General features: G+C 42.8%; 1 long non-coding RNA gene across 1 annotated transcript, besides 2 other annotated features; it reads left to right on the top strand.

The window, feature by feature from the left end:
• The first annotated feature begins 7,016 nt into the window (after nucleotides 1–7,016).
• LOC124902559 (uncharacterized) lies at nucleotides 7,017–8,451 on the top strand. Its single transcript, XR_007062390.1, has 2 exons — nucleotides 7,017–7,124; nucleotides 7,314–8,451. It is a non-coding gene; the product is annotated as an uncharacterized LOC124902559 (long non-coding RNA).
• Nucleotides 8,859–10,577: an enhancer, noted in NCBI's record as "VISTA enhancer hs699". NCBI's record gives its function as "enhancer in: midbrain (mesencephalon)[6/11] | forebrain[6/11]" and the evidence as "EXISTENCE:transgenic organism evidence [ECO:0001131][PMID:17130149]".
• Nucleotides 21,380–21,879: an enhancer, noted in NCBI's record as "H3K4me1 hESC enhancer chr10:130820155-130820654 (GRCh37/hg19 assembly coordinates)". NCBI's record gives its function as "activates a minimal SCP1, AML or CMV promoter by ChIP-STARR-seq in naive H9 embryonic stem cells {active_cell/tissue: H9 hESC(naive)}" and the evidence as "EXISTENCE:reporter gene assay evidence [ECO:0000049][PMID:30033119]".

Genomic DNA, 26,466 nt, shown 5'->3' with positions numbered 1-26,466 from the left:
ACTTTACAGATAATTGGTCTGGTTACTGAGGGTATAAAACAACACTCTTACCTTGCAGTTAACATTCTGCTAGCTAAATATGCCGCTTTAAGGACACACTGTTCTTATTAAAAGTAAAATCTTTAGTGTTTTTTACCATATGATCAGCTTTTTTTTTTTTTTTTTTTTAAAGGAAACGTCGTTTCCTGAAAAATAAGAAGCTAACAGGAGTTTTAGGAGTGAGTGGTATACAGAAACAGTACAACAGACTCTGTCTGGACGGGGCTGTGGGTTTGTAAGTCAAGAAAATAACAACCATGGCCTTTGCAAGCCGTTATTTAGAAGAGGGCTAGGAGATAAATAAATTTGTTAGAGCTTTATGTGCCAATCATTGATTTGAATATAAACCAAATGATGTGTTACAGATGTAACAAGGTTTGGCTGCCAAGAGCTCACAGTTAATGCACTCAACTTTTTCACAGGGAAGACTTTGGAATTAAGCGTGCTTTATGTGCACTTGTTATTGTTTTTGCTGACCTCAAGCATGTTAAAATTAGAGCCACTGCGAACAGTTCACCAGAGTTGTAAAGCCCCCGAAAGCTTGCAAGCTGTTTGCTATTTACCCAGTAAGCTGCCTGTTTATCATGAGCCTGAATGCAGGACCCATTAGGCTTATAATAAAAGAACCTTTAAAAAAAAAATCCCCAAGTCACAGCACCGAGCCAGCAGGAGATTCAGACATTTCCAGGCATGAGATACGCTGGAGCTGCTGAGAACATAAACTGTGGGAGTAGAACAAGACCACACCTCTGTGTGTGCGGTGTGCGCGCGTGTGTGTGCATGTGTGTTCGTGTGCGTGCGCGTGTGTGCGCGTGTGTGAGAGAGAGAGAGTGGAAGAGAAGGAGGGGAGGAGGGAAGGGGTGGGCGAGAGAGGAAGGGGGCTTTTTGGCTCTTTCCGCTTGTGGGTTGTGAGTGAAACAAAAGAGCTAATTTTATTCTTGGACTGAAGAATCTCTAGCGAGGCAGCCGTATACTTTTCGCTCAGGTCACCGGCCCTTCTAGGTCTGCTGGGTGTGGACTGGGGTGGAAATGAGTTCCTTAATATAAACATTTTTTATAGTAGGTCAATCTTGAGAAAGACTCCGCGAGAACAGCACCGATACCTTTACCTCCCATTTTCCCCAGCAGCTGAATGGGGGGCCTCCTGGTGTCTTTGACTCAGTGGTAAGGCGGCTGCCTGAGGAAGGAGACCCGGCCGTGGTTTGGTTCTGAGCGCCATTGTTGAGTGGCTCTCCCATCCCCATGATCGGAAAAGGCCCAGCCATGCCCAGGAGAGAGAAACAGCCTGCTTTCGAAAACTGTGGAAGGTGTTTTGAAGGAAGAAAGGTCCTAAGGTGCTCCAGTGCTTGACTTCCTTCTCCCAAATGGGCTTTCAGAGTCCAAGATCCAGAAGCCAGGAAGGAGAGAGGGAAGGGTGGATGGAGGGAGGGTACCGTGGATGGAGTAGGGAAGGGTGGATGGAGGGAGGGAAGGATGGAGGAAAGGAAGGAGGGTGTGCCATGCGGGCCTGGGGATGCGGTACCCAGGCCTGAAGGCAGGCCCACTGAGCTACCTATGCACTGATTGGTCCTTCGATTCAGTGCCCTGCATGCTACCTGCCTCCTGATTGGCCTTGACTCAGAGGCCCCAATACCCACTGCCTGATTGGTTTGAGGCAGGTCCGGAGCTCGTTGTTTACCTGTCTTGAGGGAGCTGCAGGAGCATCAGTTCCACTCCGAGAGCCACGGTGGGCTCCTGTTTCAGGAAAGGGCCAGTGGTCAATCACTGCCTTTTGTCCTTTCTTTCCCTATCGCTGTTTCTATGGTTGGATTATTGCCACTATGTTTATTAGCATTTCAATTATAATATCCTAAGTTCTTATGGGGTTTATAAGTATGCATTTGATGGACAGAAATAAATAATTTTTTAAGTTTCCATCCGGCTCTGTGGTAGTAAAATCAAGGATTAATCAAAGGCACAAAGAGGTTGAGTGACTTGTGTGAGATTAGGCACTTACTGGTGAGATTATATGGAGGTTTTTTAAAAACCATATAGGTATGCCTCCCATATATAAATGTCCCATATTTAGGAGTATCTCTAAGACACTGTGATCTTTTTCTAAGCCAACTCCAAATTAGGAAGTGTTTTAAAAAATGTTGATGACCACACACCCTAGAGGAAAAATGACCAGATACAGAAAATCCCTACTGCTTCAAAAGTTTGGTAGCCTTTTTATGGTGTAATGACACTGGCCAAATGTGATGCTCTAGCCTTACATGGCTACATACATCACTGTATCTTTTGTTTTTAAATAAAAACACATTTTAACATGTCCTATTCCCCTTCACCATGGTTTGGTTATTTATATAACACACTTACTGTTTCAGTAGTCCACTGCAAATCTGAGGTTACATGGTTAGATGGAGGGGGGACATATATAGGAGAAAATACGGAAATAACGGCATGGTAAAAATGCAATCCTTCTGTGTGTTTGTGACATGCAGATGTCATGTTACATTCCAGCAGCAAGAAAACCTCACAGGTGCTATTATGAGAGAAGAGACGGTGGCTTTTTCATAGAACTGAGAAGCTCAATCCTATTATTTTATTTACAACTTTTTCTGAACAAGTTGGTACATTTTTAGTTCTTGAATGTAATAGGTGCTCAATGGATGCACATTACATGGAGTAGAGTGAACTTGCGTGTTTGTACCTGAGATGAAACTGGTTTCTTGGATATAAAGTCTTCTCATCTTCTACAGACTCCAGGTCAGGGGAAGGAGAAAAATCCAACCAAGAATATTATTCAGTAGCTCCAGACTTGGCTTCCTGGATGTGCTTTTACTCTGGAGTGACACAGTTGATTATCATTTCCTTTCTCTTTTCCCTGTCTTTTCTTCCTCTCTTTTTTCTTTCCCTTCTTTTCTTTTCTCCACATTATATGTGCCAGACACTGTGTCAGGTGCTGAAGATAAAAGGTGAAATAAAACTCAGGCTTTGTCTTACCAGTGGAGTGGGGGACCCTAAGGGCATACATGTAGACACACATGTAGGCTATAGTATGATACCTGCAATAACTAGAACATGCAAGAAGTTATGTTTAGATGAAAATGTTGTACAAGGAGAGAAGGATTAACTCTGGCTATGGTTGGATCATGGAAGGCTTCATAGAGGAGGAGAAGCTGGGTAGGGTTTTGAAGCATGAAGAGGAGTTTGACAGGTCAAAAAGATGGGAGCAACATTCGAAACAGTGGGCCTGGAGCAGTTTGTTTTGCTCAGGCCTCTATAAGCAGCATGGCAAGGCTAGCTAGTGTATCCATTGTTGGTGGGAGGAGGAAAGAGAGCACAGACAGGCAAGCCTTAAGAGTCAAGCAGAGATACACTGAGCAGGCCCTTCTATGTCAGGTTAAGGATCTTGGAAGTTTTCCTGGAGAGCAGCAATAGGGAGCCATGGCAGGGCTGTCAGCAGGAGAGTGCTGTGCTCAGATTTGCATTTTAGAGAGACTCCCCCTGGCAGCAGTTTGGAGGCTCTGCTGCAGTTGTCCTTGCTTTATGTCTCGTTGGGTCACCCTCCTGGGATCCTGAGTGGTGGAGCCCACACTGCATCCTGTCAGCAATGTGAGCGGGCAGCTGTGACAACATCTGCACCAAGCATGCGGATGGCATTTGGCGCCGAGGAAGAACGGAGAGCAGGGATTGAAATGCAACCAATAATGGGTTTTTTAAACATTTGTTTTATTCTCGCTCTAAATGCGTGCCCTCTCTTAACCCCTCAGATGAAATTCATTGTGTCCAAGTCCACTAACATTGGAGAATGTTTTTTTTTTTTTTTTTTTTTTTTTTTTTTTTGGCAAAGAATGTGTCAAGGAGAAGGAGAGGAAACTGTTCAAAGCTGCCCTTTCCTGGCTTGCTGGGCAGGTGGTTGTTCAGTGTCCTGATTGCTCAGAGGGGTATTTCTGGAGCTGTTGTCTATGGGAGGGAAAAGAGCTTGACTTTTAAACACGGAGCGCTGCAGGTGGGGAGATACTTCTTGCATTGTGTTTAGACCGTTTTCTTAATCTAAACATTATGCCAAGAACCCTTTCTAGGGAAGGGAAACTTAGGCACCAGCGTGATCTTACTTATAAATAGCCAAGATCTGCTCTGCAAGGAAAAAAATACCAACCCATGCACTCTTGCAGCCAGCAGGAGCTTTGAAGGATGCTGTCAACCCGTCTTACTTACACCCCTTCCCTAGTCATTGTAGAGAGAAACAATGCCATCTTCCCGAAAGGAAATAGGCAATAAAAAACTCCTGCAGGACTTCCTATTCAGACTTTTCCCATTCATACCCGAAAGGGGCAAGCCACTCTCCCACCACCCAAGCCCACCACCAGTTGGATATTTCAGCCACAGTCGGGGGTTTCAGATGCTTCAAGATGTGGCTTTTCCTGAGTAGGTGTGGAAACTGTTTTTTCAGTTCAACAAAGCTTTTTTTTCTTTTTCCTTTTTTCTTCTTTTCCCCCAAATTGCCTTTTTGTTTCACATATCTTACAAAGCCTCTGACAAAGTGTACGCAATCTAAGATAATAAAATGACAAATGTTTTTTATAAAGTGCCCCACAGGCTTACATTTTTTCTGATTGTAATTTTTAAATTCATAGGCGGATCTGTTATTTTCTTTTTCTCCTCCTCTTTTTTAAAACAAATATTATGCTTTATGGTGGCACAATCTTGCTGCTTTACAGTATCGATAAATGCAGGTACACCTGCACTATAAAATCCACTTTACATGAAGCAGGCCATTCCTGTTTTATGGCCCATTTTTCACCCATTGTTCTAGAGTCATGTCATAGGTGTGTTGTAATGTGCTCGGGAGGTGGACGCCTCCAAGATCAGTTTAACAAAATGGTCTAATTTTGCCAACTTTAGTGCCAAAATCTGGATTGAAAAATGCAGGAGTAATATCCCAGTAGACACACGATATGATGTCACTTCCCTGAAAATGGCCAAGATAAACATCTATTTCCAGATCACTTGCACTTACAACATGAATTCTGCCTCTTTTTCAATCCCCAAATTACGGTTCCTGTTTTCTAACAATTTTAATGTTAACCTGGTTGACATCTGACCTTTCCTGACTTTTTCTCAGACTCAGAGATTTTATTACATTACTGGTGGAGGAGGCAAAATTCCATTCCAAATATAATGACACTTTTGGAGCCTGAAAACCTGCAAACTTTTAAAAATGATGTGAGGCAGACTGAATAGTCCTCCTGACTGAAGCATATACACAAATGTGCAATTGAGAATCCCAAGACCTGGCCAGACAGAGCTCTGCAATGTGATGCTTGTTGATTTGATGCTCCTTTGCCGTGAAGGAAGCTTAATGCTTTGTTTCTTTCTCTTTAAATGGACAGGTAGAGTCAGTTTGCATCAGTGTGAATGCATGTAATTAGTACAAGGAATTCTTTTCTCAGTAAATCAACAAGTGTTTATGGAGTGTCTATTACATTCAGCAAAGCTCTCTGGGGATATAAAATATATAGACCTGCTGCTCATAGACAAAATAATTTTAGCATCTACTATGTGCCAAGCTCCTTGTGTACATTATTCTCTCCACATGAAACTTCTGCAGAGTTGACACCTTAGTACCCATTCTACAAATGGGGAAACTGAGGACTAGCTGCGATCACCTGTGCAGTTGTTGCAGCTGCCAGGGTTACCCACTCTCTTTTGTCGGGTGCTTACTGTGTGCTGCACAATGGGCTGAGCTCTGTCTACTGTCTTGTAGCACCCTGTGAGGTAGATTGTATTACTCACCCATTTTACAGAAGAGGTAGGTGACAGCGGGAGAGGCCAAGTGACTTGGCAGCAGGTGCTAGCATTAAGATTCACAGTAGACTGAGCACGGTGGCTCACGCCTATAATCCCAGCACTTTGGGAGGCCTAGGCAGGTGAATCACGAGGTCAAGAGTTGGAGGCCGAGGCAGGCGAATCGCGAGGTCAAGAGTTCGAGACCAGCCTTGCTAACATGGTGAAACCCCGTCTCTACTAAAAATAAAAAAAAAAAAAATTAGCTGGGCATAGTGGTGGGCACCTGTAATCCCAGCTACTCAGGAGGCTGAGGCAGGAGGATCGCTTGAACCTGGCAGGTGGAGGTTGCAGTGAGCCGAGATCGTGCCATTGCACTTCAGCCCAGGCAACAGAGTGAGACTCCGTCTCAAAAAAAAAAAGAAAAAAAAAAGATTCACGGTAGAGACTCTATTGGTTGGTCTGGGCCATCCTAGGCCATTGCCAGACTACTGAGTGTTCCCCTAGAGCACACGCTAGAAAGAGGAGACCCAGACATGAGATGCCCACATATGTGTTTACTTCTGGGAAGACAACGTGCAAGACAGAGCTGAGTTCTGTGGAAGCAACGCCAAGTGTTACAAGAGTTCAGGGAAACAGAAATGTTGCTGAGGGCTGGAAGTGCTGGGGCAGGTGGGTCTGAGAGAGGACCCTGAGCAGAAGTGGGGTTGCATCCCAGAAAAGGTGAGGTGTGATGCTGCCCCTTCTTCTTGCTCTGTGGTTTCTTTTCCTGGTTTCATTTACCTCATCACTACTCTGCCAGACCGGTTTGATCACCTGAGTATCTGTGTCACTGCTGGGTGATCCATGTGTGGTCAGATCCGTGTGCCCTGAGCGTCCTGACCTGCTCCTACTTCCCACCACTACTGCCATACACACGTTCCACATCCATGCCTATTCCATCCCTACCTCTCTCTTTCTATATATATATATATATATACACACACACACACACACACACTTGTGTATATACACACATACATAATGTAAGAAAATATTCCATGCATATAAATATTATCTACATGTAAAATAAATATAATAGAGATAGTTAACTTTAGGCTCACACGTCTCCCAAGCAAACCACAAGCTTATGAGTGCAGGACTCTTACGTGTTTCCTTCCGCAGAGCCCTGCACACTGTAGGGGCTGGGGCGTGACTTGGCGAGTACAGCAAGTCTGGCTAGAGTTTCTCAAGGGTGTGCCCATGGGGATTAGTGGAAAGAGCTCTGTGCTTGGGTTGGGTGGTTTGCCCACTCCACCTTTTATTCTCCTTGGGTAAGTGGCTTGGGACCTCATTTGCCCTTTCCAATGGGATAGCAACATGTTTCTTTTTGGAAGCTACTGTGAAAGATGATGATCTGGGAGGGACTTGGGACACAGGCTTATTTGTTACACAGATGCCACCGGCCTTGCATCTCTCTTGTGAGCTCAGAAGTTGCTTGACATCACTGCCTTTTTCATCAGGTGGTTCATAGGAAGAGGCCAAGAGAGAGAGAAGGATGCTGTATTTATGGGAAAAGGCTACCAGAATTTCCATCCGAGGTTGGTGGTCCATTCCTCTACCTATGTGGAAGGCAGGTTCTCCTTGACAATAGCCAGGTCTGCATGTGTCTTCCACTCAATCTACAACGTATCCACGGAGAGTGACCTTGTACTCAGTACTCAGTACTCCAGCCCCTTGGCTGGAGTTAGCTCTGCCCGCTCCACCCCTGTGCCTTTTCTGGCCCACTTGAAATTTGATGTCTTGGGTTGTAGCCTATTTTTAAGGTTGAGTCTCACTCTTAGACTATGAGCTCTTGAAAAATAATAACTGTGTCTTATTTGTCTTTGCTCTTCCACTTACATATAGGAACTACTAATGACATTTAGCAAATGTCTCTTTATCTTTTGATGGAGCAGAGAGAGGTCTGAGGATGAACTGCTTTCATCTTCTCGCTGTGTGATCTTGCACGGGTCCTTTCCTATCCCTCCTCTGCCACTCTTCTAGGACCGAAGGGGTTCGAGGGTGACCTTTCTGGCCACTTGCAATTGCTAAGAGTGTATTGATTTGAGAATTAAAGGAACGTGGCTCTTGAAATGTGTGTGCGGTAGAGGCCATCCAAAATAGCTAATGAAGAAACATCCTGGGGATTACGCCAAGTTCACAACGCATTTTAATGAGCCGTGAGTGTGTGTGAATGCGTGTGTCGACCACATGCACATTGATGGCTGTGGCAGGGAGGACGCTGTTTCTGAGAGTAGAGTCCTCACTTCTGAGAAACTTACAGAAGGTGGAACAGATCACGCCGTATTTCATAGCAGCCTAATTCTGACATGCATCTGCAAGCCTCATAAGTCGTGGTTTGGTCGGTGCTGCCCATCAAATCAACTTCCTGAACTTGTTTTCATCTGAACTCCAAGGCAGCCCAGGCGCGGGGGGAGCGCAATCGCTCGTGTCTGACTGGCTGCCTCTGAAGTCGTCCGTTACCAGTAGTCTGTTTAGAAGGTGGATTGTTAATTGTTTGATTTTTCTGCCAACAGGATTCCCTGCAAATTAGAATTGTAATCGCTGTGGGTATTTCCTGAATTAAAAGAAAATATATAATAAAATAAATAAATATTAGTTGTTTGGTTGTATAAGCTTTTGAGACCTGCGAGGCTCCTCATCAATTATTAAACTTGGCCGAAGATGACATTCCTAACTAGTGAGTGTGCCTGGAAAAAAAAAGACGCTGGCTAGAAAGCTTTGAGGCGCAAATTTCCACGTTCTTACTGCTTGGCTCTGAAAGTCTATGCCCGGAAGCTTTAATTTCTTTAATACTATATAATATAATTATATAGTACTTAAAAAACATGTAGTGTAGTTATTAAATATAGTTAGAATTTTAAATGTATCATTTGATATATTTAATACACACATGTATATATGTATTTTTAAGTGGGGTTTGGGCATTATTTAGTGTTCACACCTACGGAGCTCATTTGTCCAGCGCTATATTTAGGCATCAATAGGAGCGCATTAGGTAGCAAATAGCAACATGCTGGATTGGACACACTTCATAATTTGATGGCAGGAGAAAAATGGCAAAATATCGCTCTGGTCAAAGTTATTAAAGGCCAGGTTCACTACACGGTTCTGGTTAGGAGATAAAATATGAGAGGGCAGCTTACATATTGCCGTGATTAAATATTTACTGTTCAAAGAAGATTCACAGAACTTTTTAAAATTAATGGCTTCGAGTCTTTGTTTGGATAGTATCACAAGTATTGAACCATTTATTGAACTGTTTGCTGAGCTATTTTACTATCGTTAGTGACATCCTACATTGCCAGCCTTTCTCTCTCTCTCTCTCTCTCTTTCTTTCTCTCTCTCTTTTAAAAGAGAAATAGAGTGGAATCGCTCCCTTTCTGCTCTCACCAGCTGGTAGATATAAATTATATATTAAACTGTATTTGCAATGGATCACTGCAAGTGACAAGTAGTTTTCCGAAGGCTTTGTCATTGCAATGGAGTGTGCGCCTTTCGTACAGTGGTTAATATGAGTCCTTATTCATATTGTCCAAGTCTTCAAAAACATAATTCAGAAAAATGGGCAGCACTTAATAGAGCTAATCTCTTGTTCTGATTCAGCCTTCAAGATCAGCAGCCTGTAAATAAGTAAAAAAAAGGGCCTAAACGGATTTAGCGCTGTTAATCTTTCCATAGTGGGGATATCTAGCTCTTTAGTCTGCAGTCTTTGTTGACAGAAGTGGCTTCTATTGTGCCAGCTCCAGTGGCTCAGAAGCCGGTTCCTTTTGAAGGGACTGCTATCGGCCCTCTGCACGCGCGCCACCCTCGCCCTGCACCGGCAAGATAGGCTGGCCACAGCGGTGGAGGGAGAGATTGGTTTGTGTGTCACCCACAGCATATGCTGAATTCAGCTCCTGTAAGTGGTGCGGGGTGAATAGTAAGCGATGACAATGGCTTGTGCTACATGCTCTATGCCTCCTCTTGCTCTTATTTGACTTTGCCTGCTTCACTGATTTTATTATGACAGCCTGAATACTGAGGAGGGAATTAAACTGTTAAGCAGGCATCAGAGGCTGTCTAATGTTTAATGCAAGAGTCGGAGCATGTAAGAACTGATAATGAATACAAACAGGGCGACATCTTATTTGCTGTGTTTTTATTAGGATGACTTGAGAGCTTGACATCCATTGCTATCACTTTTCTCTTCTGTTTTTTCAGTTTTCGGGGGTTAAAATTTCTAGCACTGGTGACAAACGTGCCTAAATGTGATGTGAATTAAAGGCGGCTCTAGGAGATTGTAATACTTGGAAATCATCACCTATAATAATTATGTATAGATAGGAGGTAGTCATGGCTGTTAAAAGGTCACCCAGTGAGATGTAATTGCCTTTTTCATACTCCACTACATTTACTAGGACAGAAGCGCGACCCTGCTGGCAAGCGCAGTAAATATGCCATCTTGAGAATGTAATGATACATGCCAGCACTCTCTGGCTCTTGCTGACTGCCCAATTCCTGCGATGGGCTGGAAAGAAAATGGGCTGAAAATGTAAAAATAAAGTAATGACCACATGGTAAGAATGCGAAAATTAAAAATAAAATCTTCAATTAAATATCGTACCCCCCCCCCCCACCATGTCATAAAGACAGAAAGGTGCCTTATGCCATAATGACTTAAGAGGTGATTCCTAAAGGTCTTTTCTGTAGTTCTTCTTAAATAAAGAAACGGCAGCTGGAGTGGAGCGACGGCAGCCCGGCCGCAGCAGAGCCAGCCGCTCTCCGGGTTCGCAGCCGAAATTTCCAATGCCCTCGGTGACTCTTTAGAGAGCGGGAGTAAATGCCAAGTTGCCCACTTTGAAGGGACATGAATGCAGCTGGGAGACATCAGATTCCGTTCCACAGAAAGAAGCAGAAAATGTGGCGAGACTGTTTTGTCTTCCTGATTACACTGAGAGTGTATTGGGGCAGTCAGGAAAACAGACATATCCCTGGATATCCATATGCAGGCTAAGTCGCTCTTTTTTTTCTTATACGTGGCTTTGTTCCCAAGTACAGCAGAGGTGAGGGGTGGGGCGGGGGTGGGACCGGCAGGGCAGCACGGGAGAGAAGTGGCTTCCAAGAGCTTCCCTGGAAAACCTGCCATGCACCCAGCAAGGGAAAGGCTGGGGCTGTGGAGCAGCACATTGAGAAGACAAGAAAAGTCTGTTATTAAACATTCCCAGTAAATCACCGTTTGCACTGCAAACGCGTCCAATGCATGGTGGAAGGAGAAGCAGAGTCAGGAATTCTGTAGCGTGGAATGAGGGTAGCATTGACTTCGCAATCACGCCCTGCACTTCTATAGAACTGGATCAAGCAAAGTCTTCGTGGCGTGTGGACCCCAAGCTGAGTGAGATCATAGGAGCCCTCCTCTGTGTAGACACCAGAATATTTTCAAACTTACTATATCATTGTAGTTATCATGGAAATGGGTTTTAAATTACCGCCTTTTAACGGTGAACCCAGCTAACAGGAAACTTAGAAATCCAGCTGCCTAAGTCAACTGCTAAATTTTTAAAAAGTGAAATACAATATGTAATACGGTTCCCCCCGCACCCCAGCATCTTAAACATCCCTCTCCTTTAAAAATCTCCGGAGTGCTAGGCTATACTAGTTATTACCAATTGAATTTTCAATAGCCAACTTTCCAAGCCCTAACTTTGACAAATTTTATTTCACATTTGTCAAAGGAAATAAAGCTGACAGCATTACAGGGACTGTGTACTAAAAGTAGTATCTCAATTCCAGCAGTCTGTCCAACCTTTTCTTCCCTAGGGGAGCATTAAATCTGGACCCAATTCACAGCTTTGTTTGAACACTATATTTTGCCTTTTCTTTGCACCTTTGATATTTATTTCAGTGTTAAATCTATTCTTCCCTTCATCTATTACCCTGTTTTATTTCTGTTTTTGAGAACCTATATTTTTGCTAATAAATATTCACTGCACCATTTCATCCTGTACTTAATATGCCCAGTGCATGTTTTCTGTGCTAACTTCGCAACAGATTGAGTGGACATTCCACCGTTGCAGCATAGTCATAAAATTCAGGAACTTATAAAACCTACCTTTCCTCTTCCACCATCGCTTTGCTACAGTATATTTTCCGCCCTCTCCTCCCCGCTACTGGCTGTGGCCGCCCTGAGCAGAGCCACAGCTCCCCCCCGTGGCCTCCTGGGGGGATGGCTTCCCGGCCACACCGGAGACTCCCACCTCAGCCTCCTTCCTGAGTTTCCCATTCTGTCCTGGCTACTGCATTTCCGTCTGACCACATTTCAAACCCGGTTTGCAGGCCCCACTTCAAGTGCTGGGAGGTAGGTACAAAAGAAAGCAGCTGGGAAAAAATAATGTCTTCCAAACATAAGCCGACATATGTGTTGGCACTCATGTAGACAATTGGTGATATAGGGCTTGCACTCCCTTTTTTTCTGTCACCCTGCATCTCACACGCACACACAATACCTGTGTTTCTTGAGGGTAGAGATACGGGAGCCGGCACGGAGCTCAGTGCCGTGCAAACCCAGATTCGTAGGTGTGCTCTAGGGTCACCTTTAGGTTGCTTCAGGAAAATCCCCATGCAAGGTTCTTGCCAGATTTGGGGAAATGCTTAGTTTAATGGAAACACTGTTCACTTGGAGTAAGGTAGAATTATAGCCAACTTAAAACAAAAAAAAGCTTAACATATGACAGCGACTCAGCTGGAACCCTGGAACACAGACTGCACGCATCTCTGATCTTCCGCATCACATTAAGTAACAAAGACCAGAGGACTTCAGATATGTACTAGATAGACTGTGTTTGATCACAGTAAAATGCTTCGCCCCATTCCGGACTATGGATTGCCTCATTGATTTTTCTTCTCCCCTCCTTCCTGAAAGAAGGGACTCTTTTAAGTATGTCTGATTCTTTTAATTAGATCATTACTGCTACTGTAATGTTTACTCCAGTATAATCTCTTATGAATAGCATGGGGCTTTTTAACAGTAGATGTTACGCTGCCCCTGGTATCATTTGGGAAAATACACGCAAATAGTTAAGTCTGAATAATAAATATGGCTGCTTTCATACACGCTCGCGTGCGCACACACATGCACATACACAAATTCTTTGAAATCACTTTTGAAAAATACCAGCGTTTCTTGCGACTTAGGAAATGAGCTGCAGTCAGAGCGGGCACATCCGCCGTATTATGCATGTAAATGCATGCCGTCCATGGAGAAACTGGGTGTCGAGTGTCTGTCTGCGTTCGCAAACACAAGAAAGTTTCCACTGCAGTCATCTGAAAGATTTGAAAAGAACGACTTGAATCTGACCCCGATCTAGCTAGCAGGATCACCTAGAATTCTGTTTCTCTTGCCAAGGGTCTTACTTTCTTTTCCTTCCTTTTTTCTTTTCTTCCTTTTCCTGCTACCATGAGTCTATCTATCCATTCTCCCTTCTTGTGTTTTTCATTATGCGTTCTTAACCTCAGTTTGATGATCTGGACCATCTACGGGTTTGGCCGTGGTCAACTGGCTGCCCAGCGACGTAGCTGGGGCGCTTTGTGGATGTGCAGAGAGCACATCGGGAACTGTTCCCGCAGGCTGGGTCTCCCTGCATGTAAGTGCAACTTAAGGCTGTGGACCTGTGCGTGGGAGCAGCTGCACATATAAAAAAAAATCGTGGTCACTGATTTCAAAAGAATAACCATTAAAGAAAGTAAATATATTAAATGATAATTTCCAAAGACAATAATTAGTATAATAGATCTCTTCAAATATCAATGTTTATGATGTGAGTAATGGTGAAAAGCACCGTTTATTTGTTTCTAATGAAAGACAGAATAATTTTATTCAGGAAACTTAAGCACTTAGGTTCAGGCAACTGGGCAGGTCTGAAAGAGACCGTTCTTAGTGTGTGTAATGTAACTTCTATGGCACTGCCTCTTAAAGTATGTTAAATAATAAATAACTTATTAAAACATGTTCAATGTAATAATGCCCTTTTTCATGAATTGTTGTAAAAGAGAGATTAGAAAAGTAGAGGAAGCAGTCTTCAGGGGAAAATAACGGGAATTTCTAGCAGTAGAGTTGTGTAATGGTTCTATATTTTTAAAATGTGCCTGTACTCCATTCATAGTCATTTAAGTGCTTAAATAAGCACAATAAATGTAAATAATTTACTGCTTTGCAAACAGAAAATTGGGCAGAAAAGTAATTTTGAATAGCAAGTTGGCTTGCAATCTTCGATGATTTGGGACCCTGTAAAATGCAACTGACACGGCTGTTCATTAAACCGCTGCTATTGAGCCTTCTTTACATTCATTAGCGATTAATTCAGACAGATATTTAACTTAATAAGGTAAGCAAATAAACAAAAAATCACTTTCGGCGCCTTAAGGTTTTTAGACCTCTAATTGCTTTTGTGCCCTAATTATCAAGATTAACACCTTATACTGTTCTCACTCCGTTTCACTGTGCAAAAAGAAAAAAAAAAAAAAGAATGCCACCAGAGCATTTTGACATCTTTTAAGTAGAAAGTGGCAAAGGGTTAAGGATTTTCCCTTCTAAGACAAAATGACCACCCACCACAACCAGAGACTCTGGCGAAGTTGTGCGTGGATTTTTAAAAACATTAGCTGAACAGAGAGCCACACACGTCTGTGCTGAGAGAATAGAGCTTGCATGGAATTCTAAGCCAAGAGACGCTTCTGTCTTGCAGATAAATCAGACTTCCAGAAGGAGTGGTGGACTGCGTTTCGACTCTGCTCATCACGTCTCCGGCTATATTTTTGTTGCAGCATTAATCAAAGATTTGCTGTGTGGCTGTTATATTTAAAAGTTTACATTAACTTAAGGTCATGTGTAGTTGTCAGCACTTTGTAATTAGCGACAAACTACTTACAGGTCCTTGAATATTTACTGTAATAATATTATTCATAATAGAGTCATTCAGTATTCATGTGGATATAATATGTAATTCCATTGTAATTTAGCATTAATTAATGTCCACTTATTGCAGCATATTATAGTATATGAAACAATTTCTGATAAGAAACACCAGTGTAATTTAAGGATGAATCTGACATAATTTGAATAATGATATACATTGCTTCATGTCTGGATGCTTCTGTCCCCACCCCCATCTCCCTGCATGCGTGTGAGCCCGGAGGACCCTTGGAAATACCACATACACACGCATGCACTCCCCCACACACCCCTTGTGTGTGGAGCTGCGTAGGTATTTGTAAAGACACTCTGGTGTGTCTGGAATCCCTTTCTAGATCTTACTTAGGTCCGAATGTTGAAGTTTGCTACCATCAGAGCTTTCTGTTGCCACCGCAACACCTGCGCAAATTGCTGATTCAGTAGCTCTCCTAAAAAAGACCATCCTAAGACAGCTGCCCTTTCATATAGAGGCAACTATTCTTAAGTGACCATTACAACAGGACTTAAAAACTAAAAGCAAATGTCCGTGTATCTATTTATCCATCCGTCTCTCCTTCCTTTCTTTATCAATTAATGGATCAATTGATAGAGATATTTTTATATATCTTTTTGCCTACTGACCTATTGAGAAACAAAGTTAAAACTGACCATTCTGAACAGGAGCATCTAGGAAGCTAAGTGATGAGAGGTGCTAGGTTAGAATCGGCTGGCCGCTTTGAGACACTGGCTGTCTGCAGTGCTCCTGAAATAACTCTCCAGCCTTCAGGTTGCTAATTGCTGTTTGCTGGTCTTATAAGAAGTCCTGAAGCTCCAGCACCATTCTCACTTGAACTTGATAGCATATTTCACTCATTCTTGTAGCATTAGGGGATTTAAAACCTCCTTTTCCTTTAATTCTTTTCTTTCTTTAATGGGTGACTGGATAAATTCAGTGGTGGATTTTTGTGACATTAAAACAGCAGATAAGTCTATGATGCACTCTCGCTGTGTGGTTTAAAAATCCCTCACCATATGTTTCCTCACTGGAATGCCTCGTCTTGCAAAATTACAGAAACCGAAGCTTAAAAACACAATTAGGTAGTTTAAAATGAAGTATTAAAGAAATACCACATATATTCAGATGGCTGCAATGTTTTCTTCCCCTCTCCTTTTTTTGGTTTTGTTTTGTTCTTGGAGTATTCAAAAAGCCTCTACTGTGTTTGATTTTTACACTAATCATGCCCCATATTTTTTGGATTATGTTATATAGGCTGTGGTTAAATTATAAATGAAGGAGTGAACTACAGACTTCTTGTCATAACAGCAGATTTTATGTTGTTACAGAAAATGCAAAAAAAAAAAAAAAAAAAAAAAGGTTTTGCGATGAAGGGTCCCCTCGCTTATTTTGTGCTGCTTAACGTATATAGGCAGACAAGCAAAGCAATTTGTAGAAATGTTTTTCACAGTATTTTGAAAATTACAGCACCCTCTCCATCCTCTGAGGGGAAAATGAAGGAAAACTAAATACACAATGCATAAATATAGCTGTATCCTAAGAGCTTATGAAACACGCGCGTGCGCACACACACACACACACACACACACACGAGAGCCTAATTCAAGTTCAATTTCTTACCAAGTTATAAGCCCAATCAACTACTTCATGTGGTGGTGACCTAAAAACCATCTTTCATAATTCTAAGTTCTGTCTTCTTCAGTTGTTCAGAAAGAAGGAAAAGGCAACAAAAAGCCGGCATGACCAGAGAATTTACAAAGGAATCAAATAGCAGCTTGTAATTTCTATACATTTTTTTTTGTTTTTCCATTACACTTATTTCAAATTCACTGTACATGAAAACCTAGTAAAGTATTTTATAGACATCTTGCATCGCAGTGCTCAAAGCACTTGACTGAACGGCCACTTTATGTCCTGATCCTAGAGGGCTGGAGTTTTAAGATATAATTTATACTCAGCAAATTGATGAAATATTTAGTTTACAGGCTGTGGCGTTTTAGGTCCATTGTAACCGCATCACTTAAAAGACCTTGCTATGGAGCAGGCACGAAGAATAATTTTCTGCATGAAATCTACTGCCATGCTTAACCATTTTGTTAATTTGTCCCCGAACTTTTGCCAACTGGAACGGGGGTAAGAGGTCAGGGAAGCCTGAGGAACCAGAAAGGATTCTCTCTTTGTATGAAGTGATTCACTGGGCGCTTTTCTAATGGAAGTCGCGATGTCGCAGAATCTACTGGCGTCGTTCACATGCTTTCCATAAAGAGCAGATCCTATGCAAAAAATCACTAGCTTAGCTTCTGCCCTTCATTTGGAGATAAGTGGATTCTTGAATGTCTGAAAGAATATTTGATGTGGAACTTAAAACAATGCTGGAAAAATATCTTTGCCTTAATTGCCTTTCATTCTGCAGTGATGTGAGCCACTTTGCCAAGGAAGCGGGTACTGTGGGAACACAACCAGTGGCCCCCTTTGTGCCGAGTGCCGGTGGGCTCGGCTGTTTTGCTCCCCTTTAACCAGCCTTAAGGACTCTGGTTTGTTTTCTTCTTCTTTTTTTTTAATTTTTAATTTTTTATTTTTTTGGCTTTATTGGATGAACTGCCTTCCTGAGATAACAAATCTTCTTTTGCAGCACTTGGCGGAGTTTGGTTAGGGGCTACCTCTGAGCAACGTGAACTTGGCCTTGCTGGTGTCTTACACTAATACCTTCGCTCCTGTTAGGAATCAGGGTACTTGGGAAACAGCCTGGAGCCATACAGCTGATTATTTCACCAAATTTGCATCTTTTCAACAGTAAGGGGGATGACTTCCACAAATGCTCCCAGGCTCCACATAGATGTTAAGTGGTTGTTTCTAGTTCCTTCCCTCTCCCTCTCTGAAGACTCACTTCCCATCCCACCCACTCCCAGCCCTGTGCTGAGCCTGCTGGTGCCGTAGGCTTGCTCAGGCCTGGCAGCCTGTCCTCAACAGCCTGTCCCCGAGGCCAGCAGCAGGCGCATTGGGCTGGATGTCCGAGCGGGGTGCTTCTGGGAAGCCCAGGCACTGAGGCTGAGCTGCTTCCCCTGGCCCTAAACCTCCGTGGCAGGAAGGTGAGCCATCCAAGTATTGAGCACTACGTCGCTGCACACACTGGCCTGCGGGTATTCCCACCATGGGATGTCTGCCTCCTGCAGCAAGTAGATCCGGCAGAGAAGTAGGGCTTGAAGAGGGAGGGGGCGGGGGTTGGAGGCTGGCGCAGGCCTGGGGCTGGCAGTCTCTGGAGGGCCCTAGTGGGGGAGGGAGCCCAGCCCTCAGAGAGGGGTCCCACCCAGGAGATTTCCCCAAGGGTCAGGCGTCTGCTCCTGACTTGTAGCTGGAACAAAGAGGGTGGGCTGTTAAAGAATAAATATTTTTTTACTGTGGTGTTGATTAAAGATAGGATAAAGTTTTGTGTTCTGAAAATGTACCTGATGTTTGCACTCATGTTCTGATGGCCTTTTGCCAGCCCCTGGCTGGTCAGTCTGGCCATGTGGCTCAGCCATGACTGCATGGCCATCCAGTGGGTCCTGGCGACCCCTGGGTGGGCTTTGCAGGAGAGAGTGTCCTGGCTGGCCAGCTCTACTTTCTAGGACCTGGCAGACTAGAAAAATGAAGTGTCCACAAGTAGCCCCTGGCCTCTCCAAGGTCCCCGTGCCTCTTCCTCACCCGAGGAAGCCTTCCCTGGCAGATCCGAGCAGAGCCAAGGACAGCCCTGCCTCCGCTCCTCCAGGTCCTTCCAGCTTCTCTAGAAGCTTGCACGGCCAGGGGCCCGCTGTGGCATCTGGTGGCTTTGCAAGGTGAGATGATGGTTGGAACTACCTGGGCTTCTCCAGCAGACGGTTTCTGGCTCTAGGATGACCATCACTGGAGCCTTGTAAGTAACCCCTGGACCTGGCCTTTGTTCTGCCAGCCGGGGGACTCTTTCTGAGAGCATCGTTCATAGGAGGCTCACATTTAGGTGTGCAGATGTGAACTTGCACGTCCCCTTCGCGCTGTGGAAAGCTACAGGAAGTTCTTCACAAGCCTTGCCTGGAAAAGTGCAGTGTTTATTGACCTAAACCATTGCACTTGAGTTTTTGTTTTCCCTTTAAAATAATACCTCAGTGGGTAAATCCCTCAGCTCTGTAATGGTTTAAAAGCCATGGTATTCTTAGTTTTTCTGGATAGCTGATTTATAACAAAATCCATTTTCTCAAAATATAACTTTTTCTGTTTTTAGTACATGCAAGTATCTATACTTTAATTTTTAAATCTGCTAAATAAAATTGGAATTATTTCCCTTTTCCTTGTCCATTGAAGTCCAAACCAAACATAGCAGCCAACCTACTCAAAAGAATTTACAAACAGAAAAACTGAATCAAACTTTTCCAAATTTCATGTTTGTTTTGTCATGATAGAACTAACAGGCTTAACTGTATCTTTCATTATAGAAAAACCCTGAAATGAAGGAAGGAGTCTAATCCTTTTTTTTCTGGAAGGCACTTCTTGACTTCTGTACTTTATCTCATCATCATGACAAGGAGAAGAATGAGATGAAAGATTATAATGAGACCCATTTCCTTGTTGAAACAACAGAGGGATAAAGTGAGGAGGAACCGGGAAGACGGAAGAGTCTCACGGAGCTGGTGAGGCCAGAATGAGGAGCGTGGGAGGAGTGTCTCCCAGGTCCAAAGGCAAGGATTCTGCACCCCAAAAAAACACAGCGTGATCACCACAGCAGCCATGGCTCTGTGGGATTCTTACATTTTCCTGATCTTGCCATATAGTTTGTTAGTCATTACAAAGTTATTTCTTTCCTTAGCTGTGAATGGGAAGTGATTGCGGATGATCTTCAACTTTCATCAGGAACGGTAAGAAAACAAAAAACAAAAGCAAAGCCCCTGGCTGCCCGGCAGGCCCTCCCTGGGGCCTCTGCTGCCTGCTTCCCACCTGCCTTTGGTGGAGTCCACAACCATCGCCTTCGATCACCTTGAACGAAATATTATGCACAAAATTTAATAGCTTCAGGACAGGTCCTTTCATATACGCCTTGAAATTCTTCTTTCATTTTCTGCATCAGTATATTTCCTTAAAAGCCATGTCGGCAGAAACAAACTGAAATATGAAAACACACACACACACACACACACACACACACACACACACACCTATTTTGCTGTTAACAACAAGGTAAGATTATCAGTTTCTTTTCTATTTAGAAAATGGATTTTATTTAACATATAAATATTTAGAATGCCCTTGGTTTAGTTCATTTAAGGAACAGCTATATATACTTATTTTATTTGTCTTTTATTTTAATCTTTGTTTTGTTTCCTTCTTTATGCGTCTGTGAAGTGTATGTGACTATATTACACAGTATTACTGTGTAGCATAATATTACTCTATTATTTACAATGTAGGCGCGTATCACTGCAATTCTGCTGCTTTGTCAGTGTGCTCAGCTGTACTAGGACAAAAATCTCATTGTACCAAAAAGCTTACACTGTTCCAAGAAGATCTGCTGGAAATTTTATTTTTTCAGATGTGCCCCCCCCAATTCTCATCCCAGTTGTAGTTTTTGGCTTACACCTCCCCACCGCCATTTAACTTCTCTGGGAACCCCATTACTTTTGTCCACACTCACACTGTGACCTGTGCTACTCAGAAATTTTTGAGATGAAGTCATTGCTGGTTTGAGTTACTGGAGAGACATTAATTCGTCCAGCTGGGCTGGCTCAAGGCGGTCCCAGTGTTAGGCCCTGACAGCCACCCTCAGTGAGAAATCCGAGCAGGGACAGGCAGGAAGGCGCATGCAGAAAGATACATACTAAAGGAGTGAATGTTGCAGAAACAGTGGATGCAAATGCAGCCAGGAGGAATGAGATAAACTCATCAGCCCTGCAAGATCTTTGTGAAAAACATCTTTCTTTTAGCCTAGGGTTTTAATGAGAAATCCTGGGAGATGATCATTTACCATAATACCAAATGGACAACATACATGTGTTAGTATATATGTATGTTTTAAGGGCTTGTCACTTTAGGACGAGTAAGGCATTCTCTTTGATAAAAGAGTGGCCTGGGTATATATTGTTTCATTGTTGGACTATGGGAATCCACACACCCTCAAATTTGTGGAGCACTTTATACTTTTCAAAGCAGTTTCTGTGCATGAATTCCCAAGAGGCTGCAGGCCTGTACCCTAGAGGGGGGAGGGGGCGGGGAGGAGGAGGAGGTGTGACCCCTCCCCGCCCCCAGGTTATAACAAGCCTGTGACCCACACACTTTACAACATAACATCCAGATGTCCAAAAACATTTTTTGTTAACTCTATGAAATTTGATAGAATGTGAAATGTGATAGTACATGAACTCACTGACATAAATTGTAAAACCGAGCCCCAAGTTCTATATGTAAAAATGCAGCCGTTTTTCCTGAAGGCTGAAACCCCCAACAAAGACCTGAGGGGTCTGGCGTGGGGGTCTGCCACCACCACCTCCTGGCTCTCCTCTCCTTTTCTCAAAGCATTCCCCTACCCAGGAGGCGCCTTTCTCTCCAAACTTCATCTTACTCACTATGAAAATTGAGGTTCCTGTGACTTTTTCACGGGCACGGAATTCATAAACGATAGAATGCTCTCGCAAACTCATGTCTTCTGTTGTTTAAAGCAAGTGCTTTTTCTGCTACATGACAGGAGGAAGAGTCCCTGTGGCCCACACCTGGCCAGACTCACCTGAACTCACCCTCCACTGCTCAGGTGGGAAGGCAGGGAGAGGTCGGAGGTGGAAGACTATTTGTTGCACTCTCTCTGTACCCACAGGCTGGGAGCTGCTGGCAGGCAGGTCTAAGCTTGGTAACCTCTGTTTGTCTCATACTGGAGGCTGAGTTCATTTTTGCTGAAAAGCTACAGCTGTTCATACTCTCTAAAGTTTACAAATCCAGAGGAATGCAGAAGTTTGGGTGATAGTACAAATGAGACTCTCTCCTGGGAGACCGTAGGGACGCGTATGCTCCTGAGAGGCGGCGGGGTTTGGGGACAAGGAAGCCCAAGCTTCACGGTCTCTCGCGCTGGTATTTGATGACAGGGCCAAAGCACAGGGCCCAGGTGCAGCCAGCGGGAGCTTGCTCCTTTTCCTCACCAGACTGGGCAAAGTTGCAGAGGCCAGCCAGGCTTGCACCAAAGTGACGGCTGTGAACACGGAGGCCTGGCTCCACCTTGTATCTCGGTTTTCTCACCAGGGGCGGGGAGAGTTAAATGAAGGCAGCCCTTTCCAGTCCAACAGCCCCTGATGTTCGTCCTGTTCATGAAAGAAAACGGAGAGTGTTTGCTGGCAGCTTAGCAACATCACTGTCGACAGGGCTCTTCCTGCCCGGCTACATTAAAAATGGCTTCCAAAATAACATTACAAGACTAGTACATGGCCATGACAGAACTTTTTAAAAATGTAAAAAATTATCAGAAACATTATAATCGGCCATAAACTCACCTCCTTTTGTTAATATTTTGGTAAATGAGCCTTTTTTTTTAACCTGGACGTTGAATTATTGATACTATTCTGTACATAGGCTTTTGTGTGCCTTTTCACCTAATGTCCAGTCACAGCTCTTCCCTATTTTGTGTAAAAACATCCTTTGTAAATGGCAAGTACTATGGCAAATGCACTGAACATAATTTATTAAGCTGATTGGATATTTTGGTGGTTTTGCTCTTAGATACACCCCTGGAGGGAGCCTCTCTGTGTGAGCAGCGTACTTCATATTTATGACTGTTTCTTTGGGGTAGATTTCAAAAAAGTAGAATTTCTGTTGAGGAAGTTTGGAAGCATTGCTTTCCAAAAGAATCTGCCTGATTCATTACCCCACCCACCGCCCCCACCCAAGCCTGGGAAAAGGCGAGCCTCACGTTCAGTGTGGAGAATTTCTTTTACTTTTCTTCTTACCTATCAAAAATAGCAGATACTTGAAAATTACATTTGTTGTTGAACTTATGACCTTTTTGTTAGTTGTGGCATCAGACTGTTTTTTTTTAAACGTATGTGAATCATTTGTTTTTCTTTCAGGATTTGGTATACATGCTTGTATTTCAGAATGTATCACTTGCTAAGTTATTCTAATGGTCAGCTGTTATTATCAAATAGAGTTGCAAAAGTTCCCACGTGAGAGCCCCACAGAAGTTAAGAATTTGGCAAACGTTTTCTCTTTTCTTCCTGCTTTTTGTTTCCACTAAATTGCTTCCATCTCTTCTGCTTATGAAAAAGGCATTAAGAATGCACCATCATCCTTACGATTACAAGCAGAATAAAGAGAAACAATATTCAGTCTCACCAAATATTCCCATTTTTCCATACTAGGCTAGTGTAATTATTGCCATTTATATGTTAACATCATTAACCACTTCACTGCTAAACCCCTTTGAGATAATATTCTAAACTTCATTATTTTAGCTACCATGTTCTTTGTCACTTAAAAATGGTGTAACACAGAAACACACCTTAAATTCTGAGCTGTGAAGATGGTCACTTGAAGAATTAAGACACTTCTGAGAATGCTTAAAAATAAAGGTGAAAGTGTTATTTGTTATGTTGCCAGTTAAAAGTGTTCGTCTTCTATAATGGGATTTGTGGAACTTGTTGCTTTTCTATAAAATGTTGTAATGGTGACAGACTCTGAACATCTGATCTTGGCCATAAGTATGTTTGGTGCCCATGTCATCATCCTAGAATATAAAACAGAATATATTTTTGCAGCAGAACTAAGAAGTTTGAAAAAAAGTTTCTTCCCACTGCTGCCCAGACCTTCCTATTCTCAGCAGTGAGTAAATATTGGTTTCAAACTGGATTTTTCAGCTCATGAACGAGACCTACCTAAGTTACCATTACTGTTCACTGTCAGATTCACTATTTTTCTATGATGAAGATATTTAACTAAGGAATGAAGATGTAACCATGTCTAAATTGAGAACATAAATAACCTTTCATCTATAGCAGTCACAGCGTTTCAGAAGACATTTCAGATGAACTTGACTCTGCTTCAGTCCGCGGTGGAAAGCTGTTTAAAGATTCGGAACTCAAGGTTTTGTGGTCAAGAATCATTTTCATTGTCACTCTTTGTTGATATCTTGTGTCCTTTCCAGACCAAGAGATTAAGAATAATGGGAAGAGCCAGGAGAGCCGGTGATAAATGCCAATTAACTTCATATATATACAGATTCCAAACGTGAAATTCTCAGAGATAGTGGCTCACATAGTTCATACGTCTTATTGGATCCCAGAATATCCAAATTGGCATCTATAAAGGAAAAATTTCTGTTTTTTATATTATCCCATCCTAAGCAACATTCAATTATTGTCATTTTAATTTGGAGTTTTGGACATAAGTCTGTGAGGTGTTTCATATAGACGAAGTTTGCAGCTGAATAATAAATAAATGAGTTGCCAATAACTTTGAAACGATGCAACGACACCTCTTTTCTATTGTCAATCATCTTTAGTGCAAACTTCTGTGGTTCAAATCTCATAATGAGTGCATTCTGACTGTGTGGAGAGCTTGAAGTTCTTGTAGTGAAACCTTAAATGAGAAGATGCCCATTTCAGGTGTTATGTTGAAGGGTTCTGAGCTTAGCAAACTTGTAGTTGTCATATGGCACTCACAAGCACACACACATGCACACTTATACCTCACACACATATACCGCAACCAAAGGAAGGAAGAAAAGCAATTGCAAAGCAACCTGTGAAATGCATGATGACCAAAACAATAATGCTTTAAAAATTTCTTATTTTATACATATTTATATGTAAGTTTCAAAGAAAATTTTCTCCACATTGGCTTTGTGGTCCTTAATGAAATTGTGGCCTTGATTAATTACGGTGTCAATTTGAAGCCTTTACAATTACATTTTAATATATAGGTTACAACTGAAGGCTCACCCCTTTCCCACTCACCACCCCCAAGTTCTTTTCTTATGGATTTAAGAAAAGCATTATTTTCCAATATTCCTCCAGCTATCTTTCTTTCTTGTTATGAGTCTCTAGTTCTTTTTTGATTATGGAACTGCAAATTATTTACTCTGATTTTAAATTAAAGAAGCAGACAAGTAATCTGGTGTAAAAAGCACAGTTCCAACTTCAGGAAAAAAAATGAGTATGTGTTTAATTTCTCTTTAGGCACAGTGCTGCACAGCCCCTGTGTAATGGAAGGGTTGAGATAGAGTGGCCCCTCCACCTTGCCGCTGTGTAATGCAATTTAGCTTCATTAAATTACTGGAGGGCCAGTTACTTAAGCAGAATATTGATTTTCAGTCTGGCCCGTGTTTAACATAATTCTGCGTAGGCAACAGCTAATTCTGCATTTGAATCTAACACCCTAATAGAATTACAAGATGCCGCTTGACCACAGGCGACCACTCAGCTGTCTCGGGCTACATCTCTTAGCAGCCTCTCTTATACCCAGGGGCTGACTTTACCTTAACCCCTCGCTGAGATGTGGGTCTCTTTGCTTCCAGGATACCCCAATGCAGCTGCTATATTTTTGCCAAGAAAATGGTTTGGGAGACTAGAAAGTATCTTCGGCGGCATCATTTTTAGAGCAGCTTCCACCTCTTGACCTTAATAGATACTTATAGATAAGACCTAGATGTGACTAGCTTTTTTCCTGCTTACAAAATATAAAAATGAGGTATGTCTTCAAGTTCAATCTTGCTTCAAACGGGCTTTAGATGTCCATATTTCGGATGACAAATTTTAGGTGAAAGTCAAACATTGCTTAGCCACATAAGATATTTATTGGTCATGATGAACAGATACATTTCTTAGTGTAAAAATTTAAGTACATATTTTATTTTTGGTGGATCACAGTTTCAAAACTGAATTTTTTTAAAATAAAGAAGCAAAAATACACAGGATTTTCAGTTGTCCTTTCAGCCTAGGAGACGCTTACTAGTTAGAAGGACTTCCATCAAATGCAGGCTGCGTTACCTATACCGGAGGTAAGTGATCGCACAGGACAAGAATAAAAGAGAGAGACCAAGGGGCCAGGATCATCCGACAGGCAGCCTCAGCAGAAGCTGGCTGTCCCTGCTCTCATTTCAAGAAAGGGACAATCCCTGGGTCAGAGGATGCACCAGGACCCCCAACATCACCCTTTAAGTACACGCCTTGGCCATAAAGAGGACTGGCACACCCACGTCTGACTTTGGTAGGCTTCTCTCCAATCAAATCTCTACCTACCATATAGGACTTGTGGCAGTACTGGCAAGAGAGCTAAACAGAGTCTTCAGGTGACTGTGGGGAGTGAGGGCCAGGTCACCTGAGTCCCCAGAGGCTACAGGGGACCTGGGCTTTGGCCATGCCTGAACAGCAGGGATGAGAGGCAGAGGCCCCAGGAGAGATGCCTATTGCTGCAGAACAGTTATGTCCAAACAACATCATCTGCATCTGATCAGAGGTCACCATAACTTCTGTCTCCCAGTTTTGTTAAGCTCAACCCGACCTGGAGTTTTTCCACGAGTATCTGTGGCTATATACATCTTCCCTGTCTTCGCATGAAAATATACAAAATGACAAATCATGGGGCTGAAAATTTCAGGTGTCCACCTGGTTCTTTACCGCATATGGAGAGACTTATGTGCTCAGTGGAGTAATGCAAGTCAGATGGCCCCAGATAGCGGACCTTG

This window comes from Homo sapiens, chromosome 10 (genome assembly GCF_000001405.40).
Source record: "Homo sapiens chromosome 10, GRCh38.p14 Primary Assembly".
Taxonomy (NCBI): Eukaryota; Metazoa; Chordata; class Mammalia; order Primates; family Hominidae; genus Homo; species Homo sapiens.
Note: the sequence above shows the minus strand (reverse complement) of the source record. Positions and strands in the feature narration are given on the sequence as shown.